Below are 21,324 nucleotides of genomic sequence, written 5' to 3' on the forward strand. Positions count from 1 at the left end.
AGCATTGACTTCAGTTAATTCAGTTAATTTTAACCTGTCAGAGTCAGCCTCTCTAAAAGCTATGTCAGTTCTTTCCCCTTTGACACGTGTGGCAATATGTGTTCAGGTTGATATATTGTTGGTCATAGGAAGTGAGCAGATTTTTGCAAACATATTACTGAATGAAGAATTAAACCTCCATTTTATACCAAACTTTCTGATAGGCTTTTAACACACATTATCTGATTATCTCAAAGAACTCTGGGAAATTATTACCCCCATTCTAATGATGAAAAAACTGAGACTCAGACATATTTAAACACTAACTGATAGAAAAAAGTCTTAGGATTCAAACACATGGCCTCAGCTCCTTCCATTCTACCAACTACCTTGAATTTTTGCCTGTTTCTGTAAGATTAAACAATATTTGTAGTAAATAAATCTGAATACTAATATACTACATGATAGTGGTCTGTTTAAATGAACTCTCTGCATTTTACAGAATCATTGTCTGTTTTTATGAAATATTACAGCCTTATACTGCATTTTATCTTGTCATTCCTACAGCTGTCCTATTGATTAGGGCAAAGTAGATTTTAGTATCTTTTTTAGAACATGACATTATATGTTAACAAAGCGCTGAGTTTAGAACTAAAGTCCTGAAATTGTCCTCAGGGCTTTGCTAAATCTAGATTATTCATACAACACTAATGACTGTAAACATGATCTGAAATTCTGCATTTAGAAATATTTTCTTAACATGAATTTTGTGCAGCCACCACAGAGAAACAAATTATGTTTGCTTATACTTTTATTATTGGCTGTAATACATGTTGATCAAAGACAATTTGTGAATACAGAAAAATGAAATGTCTGAAAGAAGAGAAGAATGTGAGTGTTATAAAGTGTACCTTGTTTTAATGTTTATTTTATTACTGATACCTAGATTCAATGGTACAATTACCCTTTGTTTAAAAAAAGGTATTTAGCCTGGGCAACACAGTAAGACCTTGTCTCTAGAAAAATAAAACAAATTAGCCAGTGATGGTGGCCTGTGCCTGTAGACCCAGCTAGTCAAGAAGCTGAGGCTGGAGGATCCTTTGAGACTACTAGTTTGAGGCTGCACTAAGCTATGATTTTGCCACCACACTCCAGCCTGGCTGATAGAGCGAGACTCCATCTCTTAAAAATTTTTAATTTAATTTTTGTAAAAGATGTTTTTAAAATTCTTTATTGTATTTTGTCGATATAGTCTACCTATTATGGGTCTTGTTTATCTACAAGAAAAATGATTTTTGAAATTGGAGGCAAAAGTGTAATAATTTACTGTTCAGTTTTGCTTGTGACAATGCCAGAGTTTGTGTTAGTTTTTGGAAAAATTTTCAAGTCACATGAGCATCTTTTGCCTTAAAGAGCACACACCATTTACTTTCATCCATCCTTTCATCATGGGGAAGATTAAATGGGACACATGGAGCCAGGAAAGGTGGGTGACAGCTGGGAGAAATTTTCTTAGAGGCCTCAGAGCACTTCCAGAGGATTGATTTGAATCCATTTTCTGCCAGTTCCTTTAGCTTTACCCAGGTTATCATCCCTGCAGGGAGCTGGGAGCTGTATCTCATTGAACTTCTGATATGTTAGACAACTCTAGAACATTCTTAAATTTCCTTAAGCTTGATTCCTTAGTTAAAAAAATAGAGGTAAAAATCTTTACCTCCTCTATTTCTTCTAAGAACAATATAAAGAAAATGCATTTGCATTTGAAAAAAATGATTTTTAACTTGTGAGGGCCATTTGTGTTGACTTAGTAAATTGACTTCCCCCTGAGTGCAGTAGAAAGGCACAGACTGACTTTTTACAGCACTGAACGTTTAGTGGTAGGTGGTCAGTGGTTTATATTTTATTATCAAGAAGTCAAAGAAAATGTATTTGATGGCGAGGCGCAGTGGCTCACGCCCGTAATCCCAGCACTTTGGGAGGCCGAGGCATTACCAAGAAGTCAAAGAAAATGTATTTGATGGCGAGGCGCAGTGGCTCACGCCCGTAATCCCAGCACTTTGGGAGGCCGAGGTGGGTCAATCACCAGGTCAGCAGTTCGAGACCAGCCTAGCCAAGATGATGAAACCCTGTCTCTACTAAAAATACAAACATTAGTCTGGCGTGGTTGCAGGCGCCTGTATTCCCAGCTACTCGGGAGGCTGAGGCAGGAGAATCGCTTGAACCCGGGAGGTGGAGGTTGCAGTGAGCCGAGATTGCACCACTGCAGTCTAACGTGGGCAACAGAGCAAGATTCCATCACAAACAAACAAACAAACAAAAAACATATCTTTCTCAATGAATTTGCTTGGGGGCAAATTACTGCAAGTCAGCAAATACTTATTTTGTGCTTTTATTCTGCCTTTTAAATAACCTGGCCTTCTTGATTTGAGACTGGCTAGAAAATAAGGCCTCCTCAATTATTTAAACTATTGTCTATTGTCAACTATTAGCCATAGTGAAAAAAGAAATCTTCTTAAAGAACTTAAATGTGCTATCTCTGGTCCCAAAGGCACATTGAAATCGGGCCGATAGAAACGCGATAGCAGTTGTGCACCATGTCTGCAACTGTGGCAGACACACAACAGAAGTTAGTAATTGAGCTGCTCATTACAGACAGGGAGAGGCCTGTTAACTTTCTGTAACTGCTGGAGCGTGTCTATAGTTTCTTTGCTGTGGCACTAGATTCATCAAATGCTGAGTCCTCCTAGAGGTGACGGGCTGACCTTCTGTACAGACTGATTCTGACTGTCTTCATGTGAGTCACATTGGGCAGCGTTTTGGTGGTACCAGACTGCTGTCAAAGCTTATTTCCCTCTCTGTTAACTGTTTGAAGATTTATGTACCAACAGGAATTTAATCAGTGCTGTACTTTAAATAATTTTGTGCTTGGCTCAAACAAGAAGAGTTAATCAATTCATTAGAGGTGGATTATAAGCCCCACCTCCTATAACTTTTTTTTTTATTGTGTCAGAAGTTTGGAAATAAAATACATGTTATTATTGAAAACACTTTATTGAATGAGGATTTCAAAAATTAGGTCATTTCTTTTCCTTTATTTCTGGATTGTTTTCTCCTGCATGACATTTGACACTTTGTCAAGCAAACAATTGAGGATAGCCCATAACCAAAGATTACCTGTCGTTGGGAAGCAGGTGTCACGCTGATGAATCAGAGCCAGATAAATCTAGGCCAACAGAGGTATGTTTGCTTATAGAACTAAGCAAGACTTTCTATGTGGAAGAACTAGAAGACCAACAGATATAAGCTGTTAGTTTTAGTGTTGGCACCAACACTGCTACTATAATCCCACACTAGTCTCCAAATATTTTTGTGCACATTCAAAATTCACATGAATTTGTCATTTGCACTTTCTAACTTAACACTCCTGTGATTAATCTGTGGCTGGATAGTTGTAGATCAGGGATCTGTTAGTTGGAAATGTTCCCTTCTGAAAGGGCAGAAGGTTAGGGCCTAGCTTTCTTGCTGTGATAAATGTCTTTTCAGCTTCTGCTTCTTTCTTGTTGCTTAAATTGGGGATGGAGAAAGCTCCCAACTACCATTCATTGTCTAACCTCATACCCTGCTTTATCTTCTTCATAGCAGTCATCATTCTCTTAAGTATTTGTGTTCCACTATAGGAATATAAGCTTCAAAAGTGCAGGAACCTTGTTGACAACTTCTTCACCATCATTATATCCCAGTTCCTAGAAAAGTATCTGCCTTGCCCTGAAGCACGTCTTCAAAAAACATTAGTTAAAAGAATGAATAACTAACTTGCTTGTATATTCTATTTGCTTGGGAAATCTTTTCTTTTTTTTTAATGGAGTCTTACTCTGTCACCAGGCTGGAGTGCAGTGGTGCGATCTCACCTCACTGCAACCCCTGCCTCCCAGATTCAAGTGATTCCCCTGCCCCAGCTGAGTAGCTGGGACTACCGGAGTGCGCCACCATGCCCAGCTAGTTTTTTGTATTTTAGTAGAGGTGGGGTTTCTCCATATTGGCCAGGATTGTCTTGATCTCCTGACCTCATGATCCACCCGCCTCAGCCTCCCAAAGTGCTGGGATTACGGGCATGAGCCGCCACACCCAGCCTAGGGAAAACTTTCTTACAGTAGAATAAAGATGCAGATATGTCTCGGTTCACAGTCAGGCTGTAAACATTCTATTTAGGTGTTCAGCACCACTTCAATTATACTAAAGATGAAATTGGTCAGATCAGAAATTTAACCATCATTTGTAATGTTTTGCTTGTGGTTTTAAATACGTTATTGAAAAATTACAAATATAAGATTGTTTATAGGTGAATTATAGGGGAAAATGTAAGTTGATTTAAGCTATTTTCATTCCAATATAATACTTTCTGCTCCAGTGCTACTTCAGGGGAAAATTAAAGCATTAACTCTTGACTAGTACAGTTGAAATATAATGGAATCTGAGGAAGTACTTAATATGTAACATGGATTAACAGCAGATCTGTGTCATAGATTAATATTTTCAGACTTATGGGAAACCCTAACTTTTGCTGCAGCTACATTTGTTCCAGACATGGGATTTCCTTTTGTAGTGTATAGATTCCATTAGAATTCTGACCGTTTTTTGGTCCCTTTTATGTAACATGAAATGCAATGATAATATTAAAATGTATGAAAATATACTTTATGATAAATAGGTCTGAAGTCAATTCTCATATACCTCTTTTGGGGATTTGCAATTTTATTTATTAAATTATGTAGAACTTTAGTTATAACAGCAACACAGAAGGAGTTACCTACACCTGGACTCACCCGAGAGAAAGCCTCTGACTCAGAGAAGTGGGTCCAGAAATCTGTGGAATGCTCCGTTTTCGCTTATTAGTAGTGCATTGCCAAAGCTTTCAGGAAATTAGAGCTTTGGGGAACAGATTTGCTTTATTGTCAAGGATTGCCTATAGCTGTACATTCCTTTGAAATTCAGGTTTCACTCAGATGACAAAATGATGGTTTGGTAGGCCTAGGAGGATGTGTACTTTCCAAACTGGAGAAAATCTAGGTTGTGGTATTAATCTTAAAAGCACCCCAATGTTAGACACAGCTGCCTGCCTGACATGTGCCTCAGGTTTATCCTACATGTTTACAAAGCTCAGTTGTAAATCTGAGTATTAATGAGAAGATGTTCCATGAAAGATTTTCAACAAATAATTAATAATGCATTCAGTTAACCATAAAGGCATTTCAAGGAAAAACTCAGACTTTGAAGACAAATGATTTGAATAAATGGATAAAAATAAGCTTAGGGGCTTTTGCAGATTCATCACTCAACTCTCTTACTTCATTATCCACATAAATACAGCATTATTCAGATGCATTTTAACCTTCAAATAACTCATACTTCTTATTGCTGTTTTTATCATAAACCTTGAGTAAGGTAGCCTCTTAAACTATTTATATACCTAACATAGATAAAATAAAAATTAAAAAGAAGGAAAAACAAAAGGAACTTGGTTGGGAATATGTAAGAACTTTTTGCCATACATCTTTGAGGTAATGACAACAAGTTTCTTTAAAAAATAAATACTGCTGGATTCCTGGGCAAGACGGCCAAACAGGAACAGCTCCGGTCTGCAGCTCTCAGAGAGACCAGCGCAGAAGGTGTGTGATTTCTGCAACTGAGGTACTTGGTTCATCTCAATGGGACTAGTTAGACAGTGGGCGCAGCCCATGGAGGTCGAGCAGAAGCAGGGTGGGGTGTCGCCTCACCCAGGAAGCACGAGGGGTCAGGGAACTCCTTCCCCTAGCCAAGGGAAGCCCTGAGGGACTGTGCCGTGAGAGACGGAGCTATCTGGCCCACATACTACGCTTTTCCCATGGTCTTCACAACCTGTAGACCAGGAGGTTGCCTCGGGTGCCTATACCACAAAGGCCCTGGGTTTCAAGCACAAAACTGGATGGTCGTTTGGGCAGACACTGAACTAGCTGCAGGAGTTTTTTTTTTCATACCCCAGTGGCACCTGGAAGGCCAGTGAGACAGAACCATTCACTCCCCTGGAAAGGGGGGCTGAAGCCAGGGAGCCAAGTGGTCTAGCTCAGTGGATCCCACCCCCACAGAATCCAGCAAGCTAAGATCCGCTGGCTTGAAACACTTGCTGCCAGCACAGCAGTCTGAAATCAACCTGGGATGCTCGAGCTTGGTGGGGGGAGGGGTGTCTGCCATTACTGAGGCTTGGGTAGGTGGCTTTCCCCTCACAGTGTAAACAAAGCTGCCAGGCAGTTTGGACTGGGCAGAGCCCACCACAGTGCCAAAAAGCCACTGTAGCAAGACTGCCTCTCTAGATTCCTCCTCTCTAGCCAGGGCATCTCTGAAAGAAAGGCAGCAGCCCCAGTCAGGGGCTTATAAATAAAACTCCCATCTCCCTGCAACGGAGCACCTGGGGAAAGGGGGGGATGTGGGTACAGCTTCAGCCGACTTAAACGTTCCTGCCTGCCAGCTCTGAGGAGGGCAGCAGATCTCCCAGCATAGTGCTCGAGCTCTGCCAAGGGACAGACTGCCTCCTCAAGTGGGTCCCTGACCCCCGTGCCACCTAACAGGGAGATACCTCCCAGCAGGGGACGACACACACCTCATACAGGAGAGCTCTGGCTGGCATCTGGTGGGTGTCCATCTGGGACAAAGCTTCCAGAGAAAGGAGCAGTCAGCAATCTTTACTGTCCTGCAACCTTCGCTGATGATACCCAGGCAAAGAGGGTCTGGAGTAGACCTCCAGCAAACTCCAGCAGACCTGCAGAAGAGGGACCTGACTGTCAGAAGGAAAACTAACAAACAGAAAGGAATAGCCTCAACATCAACAAAAAGGACAACCAAGCAAAAACTCCATCTGAAGGTCACCAACAGCAAAGACCAAAGGTAGATAATCCACAAAGATGAGGAAAACAACAGTGAAAAAAGGCTGAATGTCCCAAATACCAGAACACTTCTTCTCCACCAAAGGATCATAACTCCTCGCCAGCAAGGGAACAAAACTGGACGGAGAATGAGTTTGATGAAATGACAGAAGTAGGCTTCAGAAGGTGGGTAATAGCAAACTCCTCCGACCTAAGGGAGCATGTTCTAACCCAATGAAAGGAAGCTAAGAACCTTGATAAAAGGTTAGAGGAATTGCTAACTAGAATAACCAGTTTAGAGAAGAACAGAAATGACCTGATGGAGCTGAAAAACACAGCACGAGAACTTCATGAAGCATACACAAGTATCAGTAGCCAAATTGATCAAGTGGAAGAAAGGATATCAGAGATTGAAGATCAATTTAATGAAATAAAGCGTGAAGACAAGATTAGAGAAAAAATAATAAAAAAGAATGAACAAAGCCTCCAAGAAATATGGGACCATGTGAAAACGCCAAACCTACAATTGATTGGTGTATCTGAAAGTGATGGGGAGAATGGAACCAAGATGGAAAACACACTTCAGTATATTATCCAGGAGAACTTCCCCAACCTAGCAAGACAGGCCAACATCAAATTCAGGAAATACAAAGAACACTGCAGAGATACTCCTTAAGAAGAGCAATAATCGTTAGATTCACCAAGATTGAAATGAAGGAAAAAATGTTAAGGGCAGCCAGAGATAAAGGTTGGGTTACCCACAAAGGGAAACCCATCAGACACAGCAGATCTCTCTGTAGAAACCTTGCAAGCCAGAAGAGAGCGGGGGAAAATATTCAACATTCTTAAAGGAAAGAATTTTCAACCCAGAATTTCATAGCCAGCCAAACTAAGCTTCATAAGCAAAGAAGAAATAAAATCCTTTGCAGACAAGCAAATGCTGAGGGATTTTGTCATCACCAGGCCTGCCTTAAAGAGCTCCTGATGGAAGCGCTAAATGTAGCAAGGAAAAACCGGTACCAGACACTGCAAAAACAAGCCAAATGTAAAGACCATCGACACTATGAAGAAACTGCATCAACTAATGGCCAAAATAACCAGGTAACATCATAATGATGGAAATCAAATTCACATGTAACAATACGAACCTTAAGTGTAAATGGGCTAAATGCCCCAATTAAAAGGCACAGACTGGCAAATTGGTTAAAAGAGTCAAGACCCGCTGGTGTGCTGCATTCAGGAGACCCATCTCGTGTGCAAAGACACACATGGGCTCAAAATAAAGGGATGGAGGAAGATTTACCAAGCAAATGGAAAGCAAAAAAAAAAAAAAAAAAAAAAAAAAAAAAGCAGGGATGGCAATCCTAGTCTCTGATAAAACAGACTTTAAACCAACAAAGATCAAAAAAGACAAAGAAGGACATTACGTAATGGTAAAGAGATCAATGCAACAAGAAGAGCTAACTATCCTAAATATATATGCACCCAATACAGGAGCACTCAGATTTATAAAGCAGGTTCTTAGAGACCTACAAAGAGACTTAGACTCCCACACAATAATAGTGGGAGACTTTACCACCCCATTGTCAAATAAGACCGATCAAGGAGACAGAAAATTAACAAGGATATTCAGGACTTGAACTCAGCTCTGGACCAAGCAGACCCAATATACATCTATAGAACTCTCCACCCCAAATCAACTGAATATACATTCTTCTCAGCACCACATAGCACTTATTCTAAAATTGACCACATAATCGGAAGTAAAACACTCCTCAGCAAATGCAAAAGAACACAAATCATAACAGTCTCTCAGACCACAGTGCAATCAGATTAGAACTCAGGATTAAGAAACTCACTCAAAACTGCATAACTACAGGGAAACCAAACAACCTGCTCCTAAATGACTACTGGGTAAATAACAAAATTAAGGCAGAAATCAATAAGTTCTTTGAAACTAATGAGAACAAAGACACAATGTACCAGAATCTCTGAGACACAGCTAAAGCAGTGTTTAGAGGGAAATTTATAGCACTAAATGCCCACAGGACAAAGTGGGAAAGATCTAAAATTGACATCCTAACATCACAATTAAAAGAACTAGAGAAGCAAGAGCAAACAAATTCAAAAGCTAGCAGAAGACAAGAAATAACTAAGATCAGAGCAGAAATGAAGGAGAGAGAGACATGAAACACCCTTCAAAAAAATCAGTGAATCCAGGAGCTAGTTTGTTTGAAAAGATTAACAAAATACATAGACCACTAGCCAGACCAATAAAGAAGAGAGAAGAATCAAATAGACACAATAAAAATTGATAAAAGGGAGATCACCACTGATCCCACAGAAATACAGACTGCCATCAGAGAATACTATAAAACACCTCTACACAAATAAACTAGACAATCTAGAAGAAATGGATACATTTCTGGAAACATACACCCTCCCAAGACTAAATCAGGAAGAAGTCGAATCCCTGAATAGATCAATAACAAGTTCTGAAATTGAGGCAGTAATTAATAGGCTACCAACCAAAAAAAACCCAGGATCAGATGGATTCATAGCCAACTTATACCAGAAGTACAAAGAGGAGCTGTTACTATTCCTTCTGAAACTATTCCAAACAATAAAAAAAGAGGGACTCCTCACTAACTCATTTTATGAGGCCAGCATCATCCTGATAACAAAACCTGGCAGAGACACAACTAAACAAGAACATTTCAGCCCAATATCCCTGATGAACATCAATGCGAAAATCCTCAATAAATACTGGCAAACCAAATCCAGCAGCACATCAAAAACTTATCGACTATGATCAAGTTGGCTTCATCCTTTGGATGCAAGGCTGGTTCAACATATGCAAATCAATAAATGTAATCCATCACATAAAACCAATGACAAAAAACACATGATTATCTCAATGGATGCAGAAAAGGCCTTTGATAAAATTCAAAACCCCTTCATGCTAAAAGCACTCAATAAACTAGGTATTGATGAAACATATCTCAAAATAATAAGAGCTATTTATGGCAAACCCACAGCCAGTATCACACTGAATGGGCAAAAGCTGGAAGTATTCCATTTGAAAACTGGCACAAGAAAAGGATGCCCTCTCTCACCACTCCTATTTAACATAGTATTAGAAGTTCTGGCCAGAGCAGTCAGGCAAGATAAAGAAATAAAGGGTATTCACTTAAGAATAGAGGAAGTCAAATTATCTCTGTTTGCAGATGACATAATTCTATATTTAGAAAACACCATCGTCAGGCCCAAAATCTCCTTAAGATGATAAGCAACTTCAGCAAAGTCTCAGGATACAAAATTAATGTGGAAAAATCACAAGCATTCCTATACACCAATAATAGACAGACACAGAGCCAAATCTTGAGCAAACTCCCATTCACAATTGCTATAAAGAGAATAAAATACCTAGGAATAAAGCTTACAAGGATGTGAAGGACCTCTTCAAGGAGAACTACAAACCACTGCTCAAGGAAATAGGAGAGGACACACACAAATGGAAAAACATTCCATGCTGATGGATAGGAAGAAACAATATCATGAAAATGGCCATACTGCCCAATGTAATTTATAGATTCAATGCTACTCTCATCAAGCTACCACTGACTTTCTTCACAGAATTAGGAAAAAGCTACTTTAAATTTCATACAGAACCAAAAAAGATCCTGTATAGCCTAAGCAAAAAGAGCAAAGCTGGAGGCATCATGCTACCTGATTTCAAACTATACTACAAGGCTACATTAACCAAAATGTTATGGTACTGGTACCAAAACAGATACATAGACCAATGGAACAGAACAGAGGCCTCAGAAATAATGCCACACATCTACAACCACCTGATCTTTGACAAATGTGACAAAAACAAGCAATGGGGAAAGGATTTCCTATTTAATAAATGGTGTTGGGAAAACTCGCTAGCCATATGCAGAAAACTGAAACTGGACCCCTTCGTTACACTGTATACAAAAATTAATGCAAGATGGATTAAAGATTTAAACATAATACCTAAAACCATAAAAACCCTAGAAGAAAACCTAGGCAATACCATTCAGGACATAGGCATGGGCAAAGACTTCATGACTAAAACACCAAAAGCAATGGCAACAAAAGCCAAAATTGACAAATGACAAATGTGATCTAATGAAACTAAAGAGCTTCTGCACAGCAAAAGAAACTGTCATCAGAGTGAACAGGCAACCTACAGAATGGGAGAAAATTTTTGCTATCTATCCATCTGACAAAGGGCTAATATCCAGAGTCTACAAGGAACTTAAACAAATTCACAAGAAAAAACAATCCCACCAAAAAGTGGGCAAAGGATATGAACAGACACTTCTCAAAGTAAGACATTTATGTGGCCAACAAACATATGAAGAAAAGCTCCTCATCACTGGTCATTAGAGAAAAGCAAATCAAAACCACAATGAGATACCATCTCATGCCAGTTAGAATGGTGATCATTAAAAAGTCAGGAAACAATAGATGCTGGAGAGGACATAGAGAAATAGGAATGCTTTTACACTGTTGGTGGGAATGTAAATTAGTTCAACCATTGTGAAAGACAGTATGGCGATTCCTCAATGATCTAGAACCAGGAATACCATTTGGCCCAGCAATCCCATTACTGGGTATATACCCAAAGGATTATAAATCATTCTACCATAAAGACACATGCACTTGTATGTTTATTGCAGCACTCTTCACAATAGCAAAGACTTGGAACCAACCAAAATGCCCATCAATGTTAGACTGGATAAAGAAAATTTGGCATACATACACCATGGAATATTATGCAGCTATAAAAAAGAACGAGTTCATGTCCTTTGCAGGGTCATGGATAAAGCTGGAAACCATCATTCTCAGCAAACTAACACAGGAACAGAAAACCAAACACCACACATTCTCACTGATAAGTGAGAGTTGAACAATGAGAACATGGGCACAGGGCAGGGAACATCACACACCGGGGCCTGTTGGGGAGGTTGGGGGCAAGGAGAGGGATACCATTAGGAGAAATACCTAATGTAGATGACTGTTTGATGGGTGCAGCAAACCACCGTGGCCCATATATACCTATGTAACAAACCTGCATGTTCTGCCCAGGTATCCCAAAACTTAAAGTATAATTAAAAAAAAAAAAAAGCCAGCTAAATCCCACTGAAACCAAGATGGTTATGAGAGTGACCTTTGGTCATCCTCACTGCTATAGTCCTACCAGCGCCATGACAGTTTACAAATCCCATGGCAATATCATGAAGTTACCCTGTATGGTCTAAAAAGGTGAGGCATGAATAATTTACCCCTTGTTAGGATATAATCGAGAAATAATCATACAAATGGACAACCAACAGCCCTCAGGGCTGCTATGCCTATGGAGTAGCTATTCTTTATTCCTTTACTTTCTTAATAGACTTGCTTTCACTTTAAAAAACAAATAAATAAATATTGCCATCTTCCAAAGTTTTTGTCCCACTGAAAACACAGAAAGAACTAAAAGAGATTGAGATATTTTCATTTCAAAAATTTATCATTGGTTTTCAGGTTTCTTCAAAGCATGTTTTCCCCTATTGTTTCTGCCTGAATTTGAATATGCCAGAACTCCTTAGAGAATTATATAGGTAGGAAAATCTGTCAGTGCTCTAAACTTAAAAACAGAAGATGAAAAAATAATATATGCTGGCCATATATGTGTATATATTCCACCTTATCTGTGATTTTTGTTATTTCTTTGCCTTAATAAAAGACATCGGTAAACAAAGCCACCCGAAGTTTGGACTGGGCGGAGCCCAGCACAGTGCCGTAAGCTGCTGTAGCCAGACTGCCTCTGTAGATTCCTCCTCTCTGGACAGGGCATCTCTGAAAGAAAGGCAGCAGCCCTAGTCAGGGGCTTGTGGATAAAACTCCCATCTCCCGGCGACAGAGCACCTGGGGGAAGAGGGGGATGTGGGTACAGCTTCAGCCGACTTAAACGTTCCTGCCTGCCAGCTCTGAAGAGAGCGGCAGATCTCCCAGCACAGTGCTCGAGCTCTGCTAAGGGACAGACTGCCTCCTCAAATGAGCCCCTGACCCCCGTGCCTCATAACGGGGAGATACCTCCCAGTAGGGGATGACAGACATCTCATACGGGAGAGCTCCGGCTGGCATCTGGTGGGTGTCCCTCTGGGACAAAGCTTCCAGAGGAAGGAGCAGTCAGCAATCTTTACTGTCCTGCAGCCTCTGCTGGTGATACCCAGGCAAAGAGGGTCTGGAGTGGACCTCCAGCAAACTCCAGCAGACCTGCAGAAGAGGGACCTGACTGTCAGAAGGAAAACTAACAAACAGAAAGGTACTGGATATTCAATCTTTATAAGCTTAGTTTTCTCCTAGGAATAAAAATAGTATCTGCTGTGTTTGGCCTTTGTGAGGATTAAATCAATAATGCATCTGACAAACTTTGTAGAATGATTGAGTTGTATTAAACACTTAATACTCATTTCCTATAATTGTTACTCATTTCCTATAATTGTTGTTTTGTATTAGAATGGTACTCTAGCCTTCATAAAACAAATTCCATGATTTAGACATTTGAAAGTTCTTCATTTTCAACTGACATTTATTTCTAGTTACTGCATCACCTAGTCATTTTATGTTCAGTGTTGTGACAGCAAATGGGTGAAATAGTTTCAATTTCCCAGCATGTAACTGGCCTTTTTAGCCTTAACTTTCTTTTCCAGCATTGTTACGGCAGCTACAGCAAACATGTCAGAGTACAGAACATTCCATTAAGAGCCTTATCTCATGCCTCGCTTCCTATGATGTTTTGTATGAATAATACAATGTCTAGAGGTGAAATTAGTTGGAGTGCTCATGACTCAGCCTCTTTTTCTGGGGAGTGAGTCATTCCACATTTATAGATTCCTGACTTTGTGCCGTATACCACACTAAGTGCTTGGAATACAAACATAGATTTGCTGGGTCATTGACCCAGAGCAGCCCACAGTCTGGGCAGGCAGGGTATGGCATTCATTAAGAACAATATGGGCTTACACATAGCCAGCACTCTATTAATGTTATATCTACCTGTCAAGGCAAAGTGTGATTAAATATACAATAATATGAGCTGTCTAGACAACTTAATTCTATGTTTTGGAACATGTACCTCTGACCCTATAGCCCTATATTGGTATATTTTGCCTAATTATATCACCACAAATTTAACTCCTTTATTGTTTTGTTTGGATACTGAGTTTTTATTCCTTTGCATATCACGTAAAATCATACCCTCCATGAATAGGTCAGTTGCCTGATGAATACCTTTCCTTTATTATCCTGCCAGAAACTCACACTTAATGTGTCTAATAAAGCCCATTATCCTCTACTTTTACCCAGCAACCTGATCTCCCTTCAGGCTTTCCTGTTTCTAAGAATGTACTGGGAGTCTGTTTTTCTTACACTCTCAAAATTCTCTTGGCTCCTTTCTTCATCCTGTGCCTTTCCTGGCCAATGAATCCTTAAATTCTTTTTTTGTGTGTGTGAGACAGGGACTCTGTTGCCAAGGGTGGATTTCAGTGGTGCAATCATAGCTCACTGTAACCTCATATGCCTCTGGCTTCAGCCTCCCCAGTAGCTAGGACTACAGGTGTGCACTACCATGCCTGGCTAATTTAAAAAAAAAAATTGTTTTTGTAGTGGTCTCTCTATGTCGCTTATGCTGGTTTCAAACTCCTGGCCTCAAGCAGTCTTCTGCCTTGGTCTCCCAAAGTGCTGGGATTAGAGGTGTGAGCCACCATGACTGGCTTTAATCCCTAAATTCTGTATGGACTGTAAATACTGTTATGGACTGAGTTGTGCCCCACCCCATCCATATGTTGAAGTTCTAAGTGCCCGTGTGACTGTTTAAAAATAGGGCTTGTAGCAGGTAATTAAGGTTAAACAAAGTCATCAGAGTGGGGCCCTAATCCAGTAGGGTTGGTGGCCTCATAAGAAGAGGAAAAGAGAGTTCTCTAAATTTCCCCACCCATCTTCATGTCTTTCTTTCTCCGCCATGTGAGGATATAGTGAGAATGTGGCTGTCTACAAGCCAGGAATATAGCCCTCGCCAGAACCTGACCATGTTGGCATGTGATCTCACCCCTCCAACCTCCAGAACTGTGAAAAAGTAAATATCTGTTGTGTAAGCCACATGTCTAGGGCATTTTGTTATGTTAGACTATATTAGGCCATCTCTTGCATTGCTATAAAGAAATACATAGGACTGGAATTTACAAAGAAAAGAGGTTTAATTGGCTCACAGTTCTGCGGGCTATACAGGAAACATAGTGCTGGCATCAGCTCATGGGGAGGACTCAGGGAGCTTTTTCTCCTGGCAGAAAGCAAAGCAGGAGTGGGCACTTCATGTAGTCAAAGCAGAAGCAAGCAATGGAGAGAACAAGAGAGAAAGAGAGAGTAGAATGGGAGGCTCCACATTCTCTTAAATGACCAGATCTCATGAAAACTCACTATCACAAAACAGCACCAAGCCATAAGGGATCACCTCCATGATCCAAACCCCTCCTACTAGGCCCCACCTCCAGCACTGGGGATTACAATTCAACATGAGAATTGGGTGGCGACAAATATGAAAACTATATCATCCTGCATCTGGTCCTTTCCAAATTTCATGTCCTTCTCACATTGCAAAATACAGTCATGCTTTCCCAATGGTTCCCCAATGTCTTAACTCATTCCAGCATTAATTCAAAAGTACAAAGCCTCATTTGAAACAAGGCAAATCCCTTCAATCTACAAGCATGTAAAATCAAAAAGAGTTATTTACTCCCAATATACAATGGGGGTATAGGCACTGGGTAAACATTGATATTCCAAAAGGAAGAAATTGGCCAAAGGAAAGGGGCTAAAGGCCCCATGCAAGTTCAAAACCTAGCAGGGACAGTTATTAAACTTTAAAGCTCCAAAATAATATCTTTTGACTCCATGTCTTACATCCACAGCACACTGGTACAATGAGGGGGCTCCTAAGGCCTTGGTTAGCTCTGCCCTTTTAGCTTTGCAGGGTGCATCCTCCCCATACCCCTCAGATGCTCTCACAGGTTGTTGAGTGCCTGTGGCTTTTCCAGGTGCAGGATACAAGCTGCTGGTCTGAGGTCTGGAGGGTGGTGACCCCCTTCTCACAACTCCACTAAGGAATGCCCCAGTGGAGACCAGATGTGAGGGTTCCAACTTCACATTTCCTCTTGGCACTACCCTAGTAGAGGTTCTCTGTTGGGGCTCTGCCCCTGCAGCAGGCTTCTGCCTGGGCATCCAGGCTTTTCTACACATCCTTTGAAATCTAGGTGGAAGGTGCCAAGCCTCATTCACTCTTGCACTCTGTGCACCCGCAGGCTTAACAACACATGGAGGCTGCCAAGACTTACAGCAGTTTGTGCTCTCCAGAGCAGTGGTATGACAGTGTCTGGGGTCCTTTGAGCACAGGCTGCAGCCAGAGCTTCCAGTGCAGTACAGTATCCTAAGGCTGTGCCAGGCAATGGGGCCCTGGACCTGGCCCACAAAAACATTCTTCCCTCATAGGCCTCTGGGCCTATGATGGGAGGGGCTGCCATGAAGGTCTCTGAAATGCCTTCAAGGCCTTTTTCCCATTATCTTGGCTGTGAGTGTTTGGTGGGGTTTCATTATGCAAATTTCTCTAGCAAGTGGTTGTTCCACAGCCTGCTTGAATTCCTCTCTCAAAAAAAGCTTTTTCTTTCTCTGCCACATGGTTAGATGAAAAATTTTCTAAACTTTTATGCTGTGCTTCCCTTTTAAATATAAATTCCAATTCTTAATCTTTTATTTGCTCCTGCTTCTGAGTGTAGGTTATTAGAAACAGCCAGGCCTCCTCTTGAATGTATTGCTGCTCAGAAATTTCATCTGCCAGATATGCTGTATAGTCACCATGAAGCTCAAACTTCCAAAGACCCCTAGGGTATGGACACAATCCAGCCAAGCTCTTTGCTAACACATAAAACATGTGACCTTTGCCCCAGTTCCCAGTAAGTTCCTCATTTCCATCAGAGACCTCATCAGCCTGGATTTTGCTGTCCATATCACTATCAGCATTTTGGTCACAACAATTTAACTAGTCTCTAAAAAATTCCAAACTTTCCCTCATCTTTCTGTCTTCTTCTGAGCCATCCAGACTCTTCCAACCTCAGCTCATTACCCAGTTCCAAAGCTGCTTTCACATTTCCATGTATCTTTATAGCAACACCCCACTCTTCAGTTCAATGTATTAGGCTGTTCTTACATTGCTATAAAGAAATACCCAAGACTGGGTAATTTATTAAAAAAATAAGTTTAATAGGCTCATGGTTCTGCAATCCATACAGGAAACACAGTGCCGGCATCAGCTTCTGGGGAGGCCTCAGGGGGCTTTTACTCATGGTGGAGAGCAACACAGGAGCAGGCACTTCACATGGTGAAAGCAGGAGCAAGCCAGAAAGAGAGACAGGGGGTGGGGAGGAAAAGGAGAGGGAGAATGCCGGGAGGAGGTGGCACACACTTTTAAGTGACTGGATTTTGTGAGAACTCACTATCATGAAGACAGCACCAAGCCATGAGAGCTCTGCCCCCATTATCCAGTCACCTCCCTCCAGGCCCCACCTCCAACAATAGGGAATAAAATTCAACATGAGATTTGGGTGGAGACAAACATCAGAACTATATCACAGTCTCAGCAGACTAATACACATATCCATGCAATAGTTGTAACACTCTCCTTTATATGGACACTGTCTCCACCTGAATTGTGTCTTCATTACCATTCACCTGGACTTCTGAAGGAGCCACTTTTTTGAACACTTCTTTAAGCACTCCCCTCTCTGATCCAATCTACATAATATTGCCAGATTAAATTTCCTAATTATGCCATTCTTGAATTTAAAACCTTCAGTGGTCCACTTTCACCTACAAAATTAAATATGTTTAATTGAATAGCCTCCTCAGATTGTCATTCAAGGTCATTACTTCCTATATAGAGCCAACTTAGCTTTTCACCCAATTATTGCTCTTCTTATGGGTCATACTCCAGGCTAGGTATTTTTCCAAACACCCCCTGGGCTTTGATTCTTCTGTTACTTTGTTTCTGTGTTGTCCTGTCCATTGTCTGAATTGCTCTCCTTCCCACTCCATCTCCACCTATCAAAATCCCTTACCTCCTTCAAGGGCTAACTCAAATGCAACTTCCTCTGTGAATCTTTATCTTCATAACAGGATTTTTCTCCCCTTCACTGATCTCCCAAAAGCCCTGTTAGTATTTCCTTGTGACAATAGGAATTTTTTTTTTCCATCGTGGCTTTTTGTCTTTTGGCTTTTTCACAACCTCCCTTATCCCACTAGATTCTAACTAAGTGAACTCTTTAAGGTTAAAGAACATTGGATCCCTAAAATACTAAATGATACTAAAAAACATAACAAACAAACAACAACAAAAAAACCCTACCCAGTTGGGTATGGTGGCTTATGCCTATAATCTCAGCAATTTCAGAGGGTGGATCACTTGAGCCCGGGAGTTTGAGACCAGCCTGTACAACATAGGGAAACTCTGTCTCTACCAAAAAAATAGAAAAATTAGTTGGGCATGGTGGTGCATGCCTCTAGTCCCAGCAACTCAGGAGGCTGAGGCGGGAGGATCATCTGAGGCTGGGGAGGTCGAGACTGGAGTGAGCCATGATCATTCCAATGCACTCCAGCCGGGACAATAGAGTGAGACCCTGTCTCAAAAAAAAAAAAAAAAGCCTACTCTATACCTTAAAAATATGAGAATTACAAGAATTACAAACAAAAAACATTTCCATTTTTTTAAATATAACTGCAGTATTCCCAACATTTGTTTCTGTAAGGTGTAACTCCAGTAGTAACTTTTCTGTTACTTAAGCAGTAACAATTTCTGTAATTTGAAAACTCAAGTGTAACTTTAACAAGGGAGAAGCATAAGAAATATAAAAATTGTGAATTTTCAGCTCACAATTAATTTTGATAATCCAATAGCTAAAAGATGTCTGCTATTTTCATCTTGTATTCCTTGTGAGGTATAATCAGGCCTATTTGAGTTTGACATAGGCTTTATAATGTTATCTGACCATCACAATATGATTTATAATATGGAGGCATGAAGTCATTTCTCATTGGGGCAGGAGTGTGGCAAGGGGGAAGAAGAGCTTTACCAATTAACTCAAGATTATTTGGTGACATTTCTCTTACCTTTTAGGTGAGGAGAAAGAGACAGAGGATGGAGAATTGGTGCTTTTAGTATGCTGATACATTAAGCTGCCTGGAAGCAGATGCTAAATCCTATTGAAAATAATTTTATTTGCGTTTTGCTTAGGGTATTGTTTAGCAAAATACTACACAAAAAGTCTTGACCTGTGTGTTTGAAATGGCAGATGTTCACAGTGAGGACTGAGCCTTGGGGCAACATCAATCTTCACAATTCTGCACCTATTTGCTCAATAACTGGCTTGGTTGGAAAAAAAGGAAAAAAAAAAGTTCCAGGGAGTTATTTACAAAGCATCCGCTCCTGGCACTGCAAATGAAAGTGCTCTCCTTAAGATAAGAAAAGCAAGCAAACAAACAGAAGCCACAGGACAGCTTGAGCCCACCAGGTCAAAAATGAATACCTCTTTTCCCTCAGAACTGTGTTTCCAATATTTTTATATAAAAATTGTATATATTTAAGTGTGCAACATGTTTTGATATATATATATACACACACAGTGAATTGATTACTAGAGTGAAGCAAATTAACATGTCTGTCTCCTCACACACTTATTGTTTTAAAAAATAAGAACACCTGAAACCTATTATTTTAGCAAATTTTCAGTAGACCTTACAATATTATTAACTATAGTCGTCATGCTATACATTAGACCTCTAGGTTTAGTCATCCTGTATAATTGTGACCTTATATCTTTTGGCTAACATGTCCTCATTTCGCCAACCTCCCCACCTCCAGATAACCACCATTCTACTCCGCTTCTATGAGTTCAGCTTTTTAAGATTCCACATAAGTGAGATTATGCAGTATTTTTCTTTCTGTGTCTGGCTTATTTCACTTACCATAATGCCGTTCAGGTTTTTTCATGTTGTTGCAAATGGCAGGATCTCCCTTTTAAAGTCTTAATAATGTTCCATTGTGTATAGTAACTCACAATTTTTTAATCCATTCATCTGTTGATAGACACTGGTTGTTTTCATATTTTGACTGTTGTAAATAATGCTGCAATGAACACAGGAGTGCAGATATCTCTTCAAGGTACCGACTTCATTTTCTTTGTGTATTTTCCCTGTAGTGGGATTGCTGGATCAAATTGTAGTTCCCTTTTTAATTTCTTGAGGTACCTCCTTACTGTTTTCCATACCGCTTGTACCAATTTACATTCCCATCAACAGTATACAGTGTTCCCTTTCCTTTTCACCACATCCAACACTTATTTTTTATCTTCTTAATGATAGCCATACTAACAGGTGTGAGATAGCTATCTCATTGTGGTTTTGATTTTCATTTCTCTGATGATTTCTGATATTAAACACCTTTTCATAAACTTGTTAGCCATTGTCATGTCTTCTTTGGAAAAATGTCTATTCAGGGTCCTTTGCTCATTTTTAAATCAGGTTATTTTTATTTATTTGCTTTGAGATATTGTTTCATGTGTGTTCCTTATATATTTCGGATTTTTTTTCTTTTTTTTTTTTTTTTTCTGAGACAGGGTCTCATTCTGTTGCCCAGGCAGGAGTTCAGTGCACAGTCACAGCTCACTGCAGCCTCAATTTCCTGGGCTCAATCAAACCTGCCACCTCAGCCTCCTGGGTAGCTGGGACAACAGGTGCACATCACAATGCCCAGCTAATTTTTTGTATTCTTTGTAAAGTTCGGGTTTCTCCATGTTTCCCAGACTGGTCTCAAACTCCTGGACTCAAGCACTCCACCCTCCTTGGCCTCCCAAAGTGCTGGGATTACAGGCATGAGCCCCCACGCCCAGCCCTATATTTTGGATATTAACCCCTTATCAGATATATGGTTTGCAAATATTTTCTCCCATTCTCTAGGTTACCTTTTTATTTTGATGATTGTTTCCTTTTTTGGACAGTTTGATGTAGCCCCACCTGTTTGTTTCTGCTTGTGATGTCTGAGCTCTTGGTGTCATATTCAAAAAATCATTGCCAAAGTCAATGTCAAGAAGCTTATTCCCTATGTTTTCTTCTAGGAGTTTTATGGTTTCAGGTCTTACATTTAAGTTTTCATTCCATTTTGGGTTGATTTTTGTGCATGATGTAAGATAAAAGTCTATTTTCATTCTTTTACATGTAGTACCCAGTTTACCTAACACCATTTATTGAAGAGACTATCCTTTCAATGGAAGTAATGTAAGACAAGGATGGGATTTTATTTTCTTATTCTCACCACGAAGGGTATTTT

At 40.2% G+C, this 21,324-nt stretch overlaps 1 protein-coding gene across 35 annotated transcripts in view, besides 1 other annotated feature; it reads left to right on the forward strand.

Annotated features, from left to right (window-relative positions):
• Positions 1 to 21,324, forward strand: part of MAP2 (microtubule associated protein 2) — a 310,066-nt gene that overhangs the window by 58,365 nt on the left and 230,377 nt on the right. The gene's annotated exons all lie outside the window — the stretch shown is intronic.
• Positions 12,568 to 13,767: an enhancer, noted in NCBI's record as "CDK7 strongly-dependent group 2 enhancer chr2:210359703-210360902 (GRCh37/hg19 assembly coordinates)". NCBI's record gives its function as "activates an origin of replication core promoter dependent on BRD2, BRD4, P300/CBP, MED14 and CDK7 cofactors, with strong dependence on CDK7, by STARR-seq in HCT116 cells {active_cell/tissue: HCT116}" and the evidence as "EXISTENCE:reporter gene assay evidence [ECO:0000049][PMID:35650434]".

Source organism: Homo sapiens, chromosome 2, assembly GCF_000001405.40.
Source record: "Homo sapiens chromosome 2, GRCh38.p14 Primary Assembly".
Classification (NCBI taxonomy): Eukaryota; Metazoa; Chordata; class Mammalia; order Primates; family Hominidae; genus Homo; species Homo sapiens.